We start from the raw sequence: 13,794 nt of genomic DNA, 5'->3' as shown, positions 1-13,794 counted from the left end.
ATGTGATTGGCCCATCTTGAGTTATGAGCCTGACACTTGACTAAGGGAGGGCAATTATCCCAGACTATAGCATCACTCAAATATATTGCATGGGAAGATGACTCTACAATAAAAAGAAACTGGGTGCTGGGCGCAGTGGCTCACGCCTGTAGTCCCAGCACTTTGGGAGCCCAAGGCAGGTGGATCACCTGAGGTCGGGAGTTCGAGACCAGCCTGACCAACATGGAGAGACCAGCCTGACCGTCTGTACTAAAAATACAAAATTAGTGGGGCGTGGTGGTGCATGCCTATAATCCCAGCTACTTGGGAGGCTAAGGCAGGAGAATCACTTGAACCCAGGAGGCAGAGGTTGTGGTGAGCCGAGACTGCGCCATTGCACTCCATGCCTGGGAAATAAGAGTGAAACTCCGTCTCAAAAAAAGAAAAGAAAAGAAAAGAAACAAACAAAAAAAAGAAACTGGGTGCTGTTTAGAGGGCTGGCTAGAAAACAAATATGCAGTCATAGCAACCTATAACACAACCATCTTTTTTTTTTTTTCCTTTTTTGAGACAGGGGCTCACCCTGTTGCTCAGGCTGGAGTACAGTAGTGCAATAATAGCTTACTGCAGCCTTGACCTCCCAGTGATCCTCCTGCTTCAGCCTCTCAAGTAGCTGGGATTACAGGCATGAGCCACCACGCCTGGCTAATTTTCGTATTTTTTTTTTAGAGACAAGGTTTCGCCGTGTTGCCCAGGCTGGTCTCAAACTCCTGAGCTCAAGTGATCTGCCCACCTTAGCCTCTCAAAGTGCTGGGATTACAGGCATGAGCCACCATGCCCAGCCAACACAACCATCTTTAAAACAGGTGGCAAGAGGTAGTTTGATAATCTCTAAAGAAATATGACCAGGTGGAGGCCAGGCGCGGTGGCTTATGCCTGTAATCCCAGCACTCTGGGAGGCCGAGGCGGGCGGATCACGAGGTCAGGAGATCGAGACCATCCTGGCTAACACGGTGAAAACCCATCTCTACTAAAAATACAAAAAATTGGCCAGGCGTGGTAGCGGGCGCCTGTAGTCCCAGCTACTCGGGAGGTTGAGGCAGGAGAATGGCGTGAACCTGGGAGGCAGAGCTTGCGGTGAGCTGAGATCAGGCCACTGCACTCCAGCCTGGGCGACATAGCAAGACTCCGTCTCAAAAAGAAAAAAAAAAAATGTAAGGGGCACTCTGAAATAGGTCCTTCAAGCTAGCATTCAAAAATATCAAGATGTGGGCTGGGCGCAGTGGCTCATGCCTGTAATCCCAGTGCTTTGGGAGGACGAGGCGGGTGGATCATGAGGTCAGGAGTTCGAGACCAGCTGGCCAATATGGTGAAACCCTGTCTCTACTAAAAATTAAAAAAAATTAGCTGGACATGGTGGCGGGTGCCTGTAGTCTCAGCTACTTGGGAGGCTGAGGCAGGAGAATGGTGTGAACCCAGGAGGCAGAGGTTGCAGTGAGCCGAGATCGCGCCACTGCACTCCAGCCTGGGTGACAGAGCGAGACTCCGTCTCAAAAAAAAAAAAAAAAAAAGCTGTTATGGTCACAATCACAGTTTAATCACAGTGAAAGGAAACAGAGTAAAGTCGGCCAAGGGAAGAGATGCACGGAGCAGAAAGCAGGAAAGTTCCAAATGCAGAGCTCCCAGTGGAATCATGGACAGAGTTAATTTTCCCAGTATGTGTAACAATACTCACAGAGTATTGCCAATCAGGCAGTCTCACCTGAGCTTTGATGTCCAAAGTTTTTTTTTGTTTTGTTGTTGTTTTGAGATGGAGTCTCGCTCTGTGGCCCAGGCTGGAGTGCAGTGGCACAATCTTGGCTCACTGCAACCTCCACCTCCTGGGTTCAAGTGATTCTCCTGCCTCAGCCTCCCAAGTAGCTGGAATTACAGGCATCTGCCACCACGTCCAGCTAATTTTTGTATTTTAAGTGGAGACAGGGTTTCCCCCATGTTGGCCAGGCTGGTCTTGAACTCCTGACCTCAGGTGATCTGCCCACCTTGGCCTCCCAAAGTGCTGGGATTACAGGCATGAGCCACCGCGTCTGGCTGGAATGATGTCTAAAATTTTTATTGGGGCTCAGTCATGTGGACCTGATTGTCTGCCCATGTGACTGACCTCAGTCTCCAGCCCCTCCATAAGTCTACCTGATAAAGTGTGATCCAAAGTCTTCCCTCCTCCCTCATCACATTGCTAAACTATCTGGTACGCCCCAAAGACTTCTGCCTAAATCACATTGTTAGACTGTCCAGTGTGGCCTAAGGTCTGCCTCCTGGTAAACAAAGATACTTTTATCAGGCAAGACATTCCAAGGGCTTAGAGGTTACCTCCCAGGAGCGAAGGGCAAAGGCCAGAACACTCTTTGCAAGGTTAAGTTCTTTACTACATACTCCTTCTATTAGCTAGCAAGTTCCATGAGGTCAGGAACCTGGTCTTCCTCATCTTTAGGTCCCCAGTGCCTGGCATTATGCTTGGCACTTGTTACGTCAATAACTTTTAGTTGAGTGAATGAAGAAATACTAAGGTGGAATGAGAATGCACCCTGGAGGAGAGCCCCTCCTCTCTGCTGCTGCACAGAGGAGTGACCTTGCTGAGAAAGCTAAATGGAGGTGTGTGGCAAGCTGCTAACAGGTGCTTGGATATACTGCAGACTTTTAGGAACAAGAACTATATTTAGTTCTGTGTACGTGATTAAAAGGATAGCTTAAAAACTAACTTTGTACATTGGAAAAGGGAAAGGCAATCACCCTAGCTGTCCTTTCTAATAAAGAAATGAGACTGGGCATGGTGGTTCACACCTATAATCCCAGTGCTTTGGGAGGCCAAGGCAGGAGGATTTCTTGAGGCCAGGAGTTCCAGACCAGCCTGGCCAACAGAGCGAGACCTTGTCTCTACAAAAAATTTAAAAATTAGTTGGGCATGGTGATAGGTGCCTGTAGTCCTAGCTGCTTGGAAGGCTGAGGTAGGAGGATCTCCTATGGCCAGGAGTTAGAGCTGCAATTAGCTATAATTATACCATTGCACTCTATACAGATAGATATTTTTTAGAGATGGGATCTCAACTACATTGCCCAGGCTGGTCTTGAACACCTGGGCTCAAGCAATCCTCCCATCTCGGCCTCCTGAGTGTCTGGGGCTACAGACGTGCACCACTGTGCCCACCTTTCTTTCTTTTGGCAGGGTGGGGTGAATCTTTTATAGCCAAATCATCTTTTTTTTTTTTTTGAGATGGAGTCTTGCTCTGTAGCCCAGGCTGGATTGCAATGGTGCAATCTCGGCTCACTACAACCTCCGCCTCCCGGGTTCAAGCAATTCTCCTGCCTCAGTCTCCTGAGTAGCTGGGATTACAGGCACGCGCCACCACGCCCAGCTAATTTTTGTATTTTTAGTAGAGATGGGGTTTCACCACATTGGTCAGGCTGGTCTCGAACTCCTGACCTCGTGATCCACCCGCCTCAGCCTCCCAAAGTGCTGGGATTACAGGCGTGAGCCACCACGCCCAGCCTCATATCATCTTTATAGCACAACACAAGTCTCTTTTATAGGCAGTAGAAATTTTGGAGCAATGTTTGAGAGGAGCTTTGGATTTTAGAAATAAAAATGTTTGGTGGAGAAGGTTATAAAATTCCAACTCCAGCATTGGAAGTATGTCTATTCTTAAACCCAAATAAATACAACAAAAGAGAGGGGAAAATGGTAAGATATGTCTCATAGATAAAGTGGCCATCTTCCTTGATTCAGTCATTCAACACATTTATCAAGGGATTGCCTACTATGTTCTAGGTTCTAGGTGCTGGGAGTTCAGGGGCCAACAGGACAGATGTGGTTCCTGCCATCCTGAAGCTTACAATCTAGTAAGGCACACAAACACTAGGCCAATGAATGTAGAAACAAGTGCATAATTACAAATTGTGATCAGCTCTCTGACGAATAAAAGGGTGCTATGAGTCTCAGAAAGTGCAGTTCAGTTTAGAGAGTAATCAAGGAAGATCTTGCTGGGGAAGTGACTTTTGAGCTGAGACCTTAAGGATGAATCAGATATGTCTGGTGAAGAAGGTGCTGGGAGGGGAGGATAAGCTTTCTAGACAGAGACCTGAAACTTATGCTATTTTTTTTCTTTCTCTTTTTCTTTTTTGTGGGTACATCACATAGTAGATGTATATATTTATGGGTCACATGAGATATTTTCATACAGGCATGCAACGCATAATAATCACATCAAGGTAAATGGGGTATCCATCCCAGGCATTTATCCTTTGTGTTACAAACAATCCAATTATATTCTTAATTATTTTGAAATGTACAATTAAATTATTTTGTACTATAGTCACCCTGTTGTGCTAGCAAATACACCTTACTCATTCTTTTTTTTTTTTCTAATTTGAGACAGGGTCTCACTCTGTCACCCAGGCTGGAGTGCAGTGGCGTGATCTCAGCTCACTGCAACCCCTGCCTCCCAGGCTCAAGTGATCTTTTTTGTATTTTTAGTAGAGACAGAGTCTTGCCATGTTGCCTAGGCTGGTCTCAAATTCCTGAGCTCAAGCCATCCACTTGCCTTGGCCTCCCAAAGTGCAAGGATTATAGGCATGAGCCATTGCACCTGGCTCTTATTCATTCTTTCTATTTTTCTGTACCCATTAACCATCCCCACTTCTCCCTCACCCCCCACTACCCTTCCCATCCTCTGGTTACCATCCTTCTACTCTTTATCTCCATGAGTTCAATTATTTTAATTTTTAGCTCCTACAAAATAAGTGAGAACATGGGAAGTTTGTCTTTCTGTGCCTGGCTTATTTCACTTAACATAATGACCTTCAGTTCCATCCATGTTGTTGCAAATGACAGGATCCCTCTCTCTCTTTTTTTTTTTTTTTTTTTTTGAGACAGAGTCTCACTCTGTCACCCAGTCTGGAGTGCAGTGGCACAATCTTGGCTCACTGCAACCTCTGCCTCCCAGGTTCAAGCGATTCTCATGCCTCAGCCTCCCAAGTAGCTGGGATTACAGGTATGCGCCACCACACCCGGTTAATTTTTGTATTTTTAGTATTTTTTTAAACAGAGACAGGGATTCATCATGTTGGCTAGGCTGGTCTTCAACCCCTGGCCTCAAGTGATCTGCCCCTCGGCCTCCCAAAGTGCTGAAATTACAGGCGTGAGTCACTGTACCCGGCCTCATTCTTTTTTATGACTTAATAGTTCTCCATTGTGTATCTGTGCCACATTTTCTTTATCCATTTATATGTTGATGAACACTTAGGCTGCTTCCAAATTTTAGCTATTGTGAATAGTGCAGCAGTAAACATGGGAGTGCAGATGTCTCTTCAACATACTGATTTCCTTTCTTTGGGGTATATACCTAGGAGGGGGATTGGTAGCTTTATTTTTGGCTTTTTCTTTTCTTTCCTCCCCTCCCTCTCCCCTCCCCTCCCACTCCCCTCTCTTCCCCTCCCCTTCCTTCCCCTCCTCCCTCCCCTTTTCCTCCTCTCCCCCCTCCCCTCCCCTTTCCTTCCCTCCCCTCCCCTTTTCCTCCCTTCCCCTTTTCTTCCCCTCCCCTTCCTTCCCCCCTCCTCCCCTCACCCCTCTTTTCCCCTACACCTTCCCTCCCTTCCCTTCCCCTCCCCTCTCCTCCCTTTTCAACAAGGTCTGACTCTCTTGCCCAGGCTGGAGTGCAGTGGTGTAATCACAGTTCACTGCAGCCTTTATTTCCCAGGCTCAAGTGATCCTCACACCTCAGCCTCCCAAGTACCTGGGACTACAGGTGTGCATCACTACTCCTAGCTGATTTTCTTTATATTTTGTACAGATGAGGTCTCACTGTGTTGCCCAGCCTGGACTCAAACTCCTGGAATCTTGGACTCAAGTGATCTTCCTGCCTTAGCCTCCAGGCATGAGCCACCTCACCTGGCTATATTTTTAGGTTTTCTTTAGGAACCTCCAAATTGTTCTCCATAGTGGTTGTACTAATTTATATTCCCACCAAAAGTGTATGAGGGTTCCCTATTCTCCACATCCTTGCCAGCATTTGTTATTGCCTGTCTTTTGGATAAAAACCATTTTAACTGGGGTGAGATGGTATCTCATTGTAATTTTATTTTATTTTATTTATTTATTTATTTTGAGATAGAGTCTCACTCTGTTGCCCAGGCTGGAGTGCAGTGGCGCAATCCGCCTCCCGGGTTCAAGCGATTCTCCTGTTTCATCCTCCTGAGTAGCTGGGATTACAGGTGTGCACCACTGTGCCCTGCTAATATTTGTATTTTTAGTAGAGACGAGGTTTCACCATGTTGGCCAGGCTGGTCTTGAACTCCTGACCTCAAGTGATCCACCTGCCTCGGCCTCCCAAAGTGCTGAGATTAAAGGCATGAGCCACCATGCCTGGCCTCATTGTAGTTTCGATTTGCATTTCTCTGATGATCAGTGAAGTTAAGCATCTTTTTATATGCCTGTTGAGATTTAAATGTCTTATTTTATAAAATGTCTGTTCTGGGCTGGGTGTGGTGGCTCACGCATGTAATCCCAGCACTTGGAGAGGCTGAAGTGGGTGTATCATCTGAGGTCAGGTGTTCAAGACCAGCCTGGACAATATGGTGAAACCCCATCTCTACTAAAAATACAAAAATTAGCTGGGCATGGTGGTGGGCGCCTGTAATCCCAGCTACTCAGGAGGCTGAGGCATGAGAATTGCTTGAACCCAGGAGGCGGAGGTTGCAGTGAGCTGAGATCGCATCACTGCACTCCAGCCCGGGTGATAGATTGAGACTCTCTCTCAGAAAAACAAAACAAAACGTCTGTTTTGGGCCGGGCGCGGTGGCTCACGCCTGTAATCCCAGCACTTTGGGAGGCCAAGGCGGGCAGATCACCTGAGGTTAGGAGTTCGAGACCAGCCTGGTCAACATGGCGAAAGCCTGTCTCTACTAAAAATACAAAAATTAGCCGGATATATATGTAGAAAGCTGAAACTGCATCCCTTCCTTACACCTTATACAAAAATTAATTCAAGATGGATTAAAGACTTAAATGTTAGACCTAAAACCATAAAAACCCTAGAAGAAAACCTAGGCAATACCATTCAGGACATAGGCGTGGGCAAGGACTTCATGACTAAAACACCAAAAGCAGTGGCAACAAAAGCCCAAAATAGACAAATGGGATTTAATTAAACTAAAGAACTTCTGCACAGCAAAAGAAACTACCATCAGAGTGAACAGGCAACTTACAGAATGGGAGAAAATTTTTGCAATCTACCCATCTGACAAAGGGCTAATATTCGGAATCTACAAAGAACTTAAACAAATTTACAAGAAAAAATCAAACAACCCCATCAAAAAGTGGGTGAAGGATATGAACAGACGCTTCTCAAAAGAAGACATTTATGCAGCCAACAGACACATGAAAAAATGCTCATCACCACTGGCCATCAGAGAAATGCAAATCAAAACCACAATGAGATACCATCTCACACCAGTTAGAATGGCGATCATTAAAAAGTCAGGAAACAACAGATGCTGGAGAGGATGTGGAGAAATAGGAACTCTTTTACACTGTTGGTGGGAGTATAAACTAGTTCAACCATTGTGGAAGACAGTGTGGCAATTCCTCAAGGATCTAGAACTAGAAATATGATTTGACCCAGCGATCCCATTACTGGGTATATACCCAAAGGATTATGAATCATGCTACTATAAAGACACGTGCACACATATGTTTATTGCGGCACTATTCACAATAGCAAAGACTTGGAACCAACCCAAATGTCCATTAGTGATAGACTGGATTAAGAAAATGTGGCACATATACACCATGGAATACTATGCAGCCATAAAAAAGGATGAGTTCATGTCCTTTGTAGGGACATGGATGAAGCTGGAAACCATCATTCTCAGCAAACTATCGCAAGGATAGGAAACCAAACACCGAATGTTCTCACTCATAGGTGGGAATTGAACAATGAGAACACTTGGACACAGGGTGGGGAACATCAAACAGCGGGGCTGGTCATGGGGAGGGATAGCATTAGGAGATATACCTAATGTAAATGACGAGTTAATGGGTGCAGCACACCAATATGACACATGTATACATATGTAACAAACCTGCACATTGTGCACATGTACCCTAGAACTTAAAGTATAATAATAATAAAAAAAATTAGCCAGATGTGGTGGTGCACACCTGTAATCCCAGCTACTCGAGAGGCTGAGGCAGGAGAATTGCTTGAAACGAGGGGGCAGAGGATGCAGTGGGCTGAGATCGTGCCATTGCACTCCAGCTGAGGTGACAGAGTGACACTCTGCCTCAAAAAAAATAAAAAGCAAGGAGGGGCCAGGCGCGGTGGTTCACGCCTGTAATCCCAGCTACTTGAGAGGCTGAGGCACAAGAATCACCTGAGCCAGGGAAGTGGAAGTTGCAGTGAGCCGAGATTGTGCCACTGCACTCCAGCCTGGGTAACAGAGCGAGACTCCATCTCAAACAAAAGAAAAACAGCTGGGTGTGGTGGCTCACGCCTGTAGTCCCAGCACTTTGGGAGGCCGAGGTGGATGGATGACGAGGTCAGGAGTTCACGACCAGTCTGGCCAACATGGTGAAAACCCATCTCTACTAAAAATACAAAAATTAGCTGGGCGTAGTGGCAGGCGCCTGTAATCCCAACTACTCGGGAGTCTGAGGCAGAGAATTGCTTGAACCCAGGAGGCGGAAGTTGCAGTAAGCTGAGACCGCACTACTGTACTCCGGCCTGAGCAACACAGCAAGACTCCATCTCAGCAAAAAAAAAAAAAAGTAAGGAGGCTGTATCAATGGATCTACTATATATGCTTTTTGTAAAATAAGGATCATAGTTTCACCTTTCTTATACTATTATGGTGAGAGTAAATCAATGAAAGTCATTTAGAACAGTGTGTGGGGTAAATGTAAGGACACAATAAATGTCAACCTATTATTTCAGTGTATGTGTGTACTGTAATTTATTTACTGAGTCTTCTATTGATGGGCCATAATGTTTCTTTGTTTGGGATGGAGTCTCACTCTGTTGCCAGGCTGGCGTGCAGTAGGGCGATCTCGGCTCACTGCAACCTCCACCTCCCAGGTTCAAGTGATTCTCTTGCCTCAGCCTCCCGAGTAGCGGGACTATAGGCATGTGCCACCACACTCAGCTAATTTTTGTATTTTTAGTAGAGACGGGGTTTCACCATGTTGGTCTCAATCTCTTGATCTCGTGATCTGCCCACCTTAGCCTCCCAAAGTGCTGGGATTACAGGTGTGAGCCACCGCGCCCAGCCTTTTTTTTTTTTTTTTTTTTTTGAGACAGAGTCTCCCTCTGTCACCAGGCTGGAGTGCAGTGGTGGTGCGATCTCGGCTGACTGCAACCTCTGCCTCCCGGGTTCAAGCGATTCTCCTGCCTCAGCCTCTCGAGTGGTTGGGACAGTGGTGCGCACAACCATGCCCAGCTAATTTTTGTATCTTAGTAGAGACAAGGTTTCACCATGTTGGCCATGATGGTCTTGTTCTCCTTACCTCGTGATCCGCCTGCCTCAGCCTCCCAAAGTGCTGTGATTACAGGCATGAGCCACCGTGCCCGGCCTCATAATGTTTTCAATCTTTTGATACTACAAGCCATTCTGCAGTCTTTTAAGATTTTTGTTTGTTTGTTTTGCAACAGAGTTTTGCTCTCGTTTTATAGGCTAGAGTGCCATGGTGCGATTTCGGCTCATTGCAACCTCTGCCTCCCAGGTTCAAGCAATTCTGCCTCAGCCTCCCGAGTAGCTGGGATTACAGGCATGCAACATCTCGTCTGGCTAATTTCTTGTATTTTTAGCAGAGACGGGGTTTTACCATGTTGATCAGGGTGGTCTCGAACTCCTGACCTCAAGTGATCCACCCACCTGGGCCTCCCAAAGTGCTGGGATTACAGGCGTGAGCCCCGGTGCCCAGCCCAGCCTTTAAGATTTGATTGGGCAGGATGACAGTACCATACTTGAGTTCATTGGTTCAAGCCTGCAGTTACAGGCAAGCCAGGTAGTTGCCTCTCTACTCTGGGTCTCCTGGATTTACCTCTCAAAACAAACTGGCCAGCCAGCCGCCTTGCACTTTGTTTTGTTATTCACGTTTGTGCTCAGAAATTTCCAAACATTGTCCTGTTAAAACAGTGATGGATAACAGTTCCGGAGAACTCTCTTTCCTTACACACCCACACGCCCACACACACAGCTGTGCCTCTGAAAACACTGCTGAGTTCTCTCTCAGCCCACTCAGTTAAATATCTTTATTAATTCTCCTCCTCACCCAGTTCCTAGATCAGGAGTTAGAATGCCTGGGTTCAAGTTTTAGCTCAATACTAATTATTTAGTTGTGTGACTTTGGATAAATCACTGACCCCTGGTGTCCTGAGGATCAGTGGGCAAAACAAATGTGAAGTGTAAATAGTGAGTTGAGAGACTCCATCCTCTCCTGTCTCCAATCAATGGTTTGTACTACTCAGGTCCTGCTGTTTCTTACTCCAGTTTAGTCCTAGAACCATTTGCTTGCCTAGGGAGAAAAAGCATACTTGGCCCGGCACGGTGGCTGACGCCCAACACTTTGGAAGGGGGAGGCAGGCAGATCACTTGAGCCCAGGAGTTCAAGCCTGAGGCTGGGAGTGATAGCTCACAACTATAATCCTAGAGCTTTGGGAGGCCAAGGTGGGTGGATCACTTGAGGTCAGGAATTCGAGACCAGCCTGGCCAACATGGTGAAAACCCGTCTCTACTAAAAAAAACACAAAAATTATATGGGCATGGTAGTGCATGCCTGTAATCCCAGCTACTCTGAAGGCTGAGGCAGGAGAATCACTTGAACCCGGGAGGCAGAGGTGGCAGTGAGCCCAGATCGTGCCATTACACTCCAGCCTGGGTGACACAGCGAGAGACCCTGTCTCAAAAAAAAAAAAAAAAAAAAAACGGGCAAGATAGTGGTTACCCTTCAGCAGAGTAGTAACTGACTGTGGGGTGGGGGATGGGCAAAAGGCGAGGCTTTGGCAAGTTCAGAATATTCTATTTGTTGATCTGTGCATTGGGCACAGACACGAGTGTGTTCAGTTTATGAAAATTCATCTGGCCGGGTGCAGTGGCTTACGCCTGTAATCCTAGCACTTTGGGACGCTGAGGTGGGTGGATTGCTTTGAGCTCAGGAGTTTGAGACCAGCCTGGGCAATGTGGCAAAACCCCATCTCTACAAAAAATATAAAAATGGGCCAGGCCTGGTGGCACGCACCTATAGTCCCAGCTATTTGGGAGGCTGAGGCTGGAGGATCGCTTGAGCCAGGAAGTAGAGGTTGCAGTGAGCCAGGATTGTGCTGTTGCACTCTATCCTGGGCAACAGAGTGAGACCCTGTCTCAAAAAATAAAATAAAAAAATTCATCAAGCAGTACACTTATATTTGTACTTTTTCTGTATATTACACTTCAATAAAAAGAAAGCAGGCTGGATGCAGTAGTTCACGCCTGTAATACCAGCACTTTGGGAGGCTGAGGTGGGCGGATTGCGTGAGGTCAGGAGTTCGAGACCAGCCTGGCTAACATGGTGAAACCCTGTCTCTACTAAAAATACAAAAATTAGCAGGGTGTGCTGGTGGACGCCTGTAATCTCACCTACTCAGGAGGCTGAGGCAGGAGAATTGCTTGAACCCAGGAGGTGGAGGTCACAGTGAGCCGAGATCACGCCATTGCACTCCAGCCTGGGAAACAGAGCAAGACCTCCACTCAAAAAAAAAAAAAAAAAAAAAAAAAAAAAAAAGTATTCCAGACTGGTTACAATACTGAAACTAAAGGAGTGATGAAGTCAACCTCCAGTCAGCTGTATTGATGCAAAGGAGAAAATATCCTAGCTGAGATAAAGATTCAAATACCAAGGATATCGTCTCTGATTCTTACCAAGGGCAGCCTGAAGTTCCTATTGCATTAATGCAGAAATTAGTTGAGGTCAGGGATTGTTTTTAAAATCCTAGAAGGAGCCGGGCATGGTGGCTCATGCCTGTAATGCCAACACTTTGGCAGGCTGAGGCGGGTGGATTGCCTGAGGTCAGGAGTTTGAGACCAGCCTGGCCAACACAGTGAAACCCCATCTCTACTAAAAATACGAAAAATTAGCTAGGCATGGTGGCAGACACCTGTAATCCCAGCTACTAGGGAGGCTGAGGCAGGAGAATTGCTTGAACCTGGGAAGTGGAGGTTGCAGTGAGCTGAGATCGTGCCATTGCACTCCAGCCTGGGCAACAAGAGCGAAACTCCATCTCAAACAAAAACAAAAATCCTAGAAGGCTGGGCACGGTGGCTCACACCTGTAATCCCAGCACTTTGGGAGGCTGAGGCAGGAAGATCGCCTGAGCCCAGTGTAACTGCCCAATGGGATCACCTTGCCTGCTGCTTACACAGCGGATATATCAAGACAGGGGAATTGCAATGGCAAAAGAGTAATTCACACAGAGCCGTCTGTGCAGGAGAGTGGAGTTTTATTATTATTATTATTATTATTATTTTGATTCAGCGTCTCGCTGTTTCGCCAGGCTGGAGTGCAGTGATGCGATCTTGGCTCACTGCAACCTCCACCTCCCGGGTTCAAGCGCTTCTCCTGCCTCAGACTCCCGAGTAGCTGGGACGACAGGTACGCGCCACCATGCCCAGCTAATTTTTGTATTTTTACTAGAGACGGGGTTTCACCATGTTGGCCAGGATGGTCTCGATCTCTTAACCTCATGATCCGCCTGCCTCAGCCTCCCAAAGTGCTGGGATTACAGGCGTGAGTCACCATGCCCGGCCTGGAGCTTTATTATTACTGAAATCAGTCTCCCTGGAGCATTAAGGGATCAGAGTTTTTAAAGATAATTTGGTGGGTAGGGGCTTAGGAAGTGGAGAGTGCTGATTGGTCAGGTTTGAGATTGGATCATAGGGAGTTGAAATGAGTTTTTCTTGCTGTCTTCTGTTCCTGGTTGGGATGGCAGACCTATTTGGGCCAGATTACCAGTCTGGATGGTATCAGCTGATGCACTGGGTGCAGGGTCTGCAAAATATCTCAAGCACTGATCTTAGGTTTTACAATAGTGATGTTATCCCCAGGAGCAGTTTGGGGAGGTTTAGACTCTTGGAGCCCATGGCTGCATGACCCCTAAATTGTAATTTCTAATCTTGTAGCTTAATCTGTTAGTCCTGCAAAGGCAGACTGGACCCCAGGGAAGAAGGGGGTCTTTTCGGGAAAGGGCTATTATCAATTTTGTTTCAGAGTCAAACCATGAACTGAATTCCTTCCCAAAGTTAGTTCGGCCTATGCCCAGGAATGAACAAGGACAGCTTAAGGGTTAGAAACAAGATAGAGTCAGTTAGGTCTGATTTCTTTCACTGTCATAAAATCATCAGTTATAATTTTGCAAAGGCAGTTTACCAGGAGTTTGAGACCAGCCTGGGCAACATAGTAAGACCCCTATCTCTACCAAAAAAAAAAAAAAAAAAATTAGCCAGGTGCAGTGGTGTGCACCTGTAGTCCCACCTACTCAGGAGGCTGAGGCGGGAGGATTGCTTGAGCCCAGGACTTTGAAGCTGCAGTGAGCTGTGATCACGCCACTGCACTCCAGCCTGGGCAACAAAGTGAGACCCTGTGTTAAAACAACAACAACAACAACAACAACTTTGGGAGGCCGAGGTGGGCGGATCACGAGGTCAGGAGATTGAGACCATCCTGGCTAACATGGTGAAAGCCCGTCTCTACTAAAAATACAAAAAAATAAAAAAAATAAAAATAAAAATTAG

Source organism: Homo sapiens, chromosome 15, assembly GCF_000001405.40.
Source record: "Homo sapiens chromosome 15, GRCh38.p14 Primary Assembly".
In the NCBI taxonomy this organism is placed as follows: domain Eukaryota; kingdom Metazoa; phylum Chordata; class Mammalia; order Primates; family Hominidae; genus Homo; species Homo sapiens.
The sequence above is the reverse complement of the archived record's forward strand: the minus strand, read 5'-3'. Positions refer to the sequence as shown.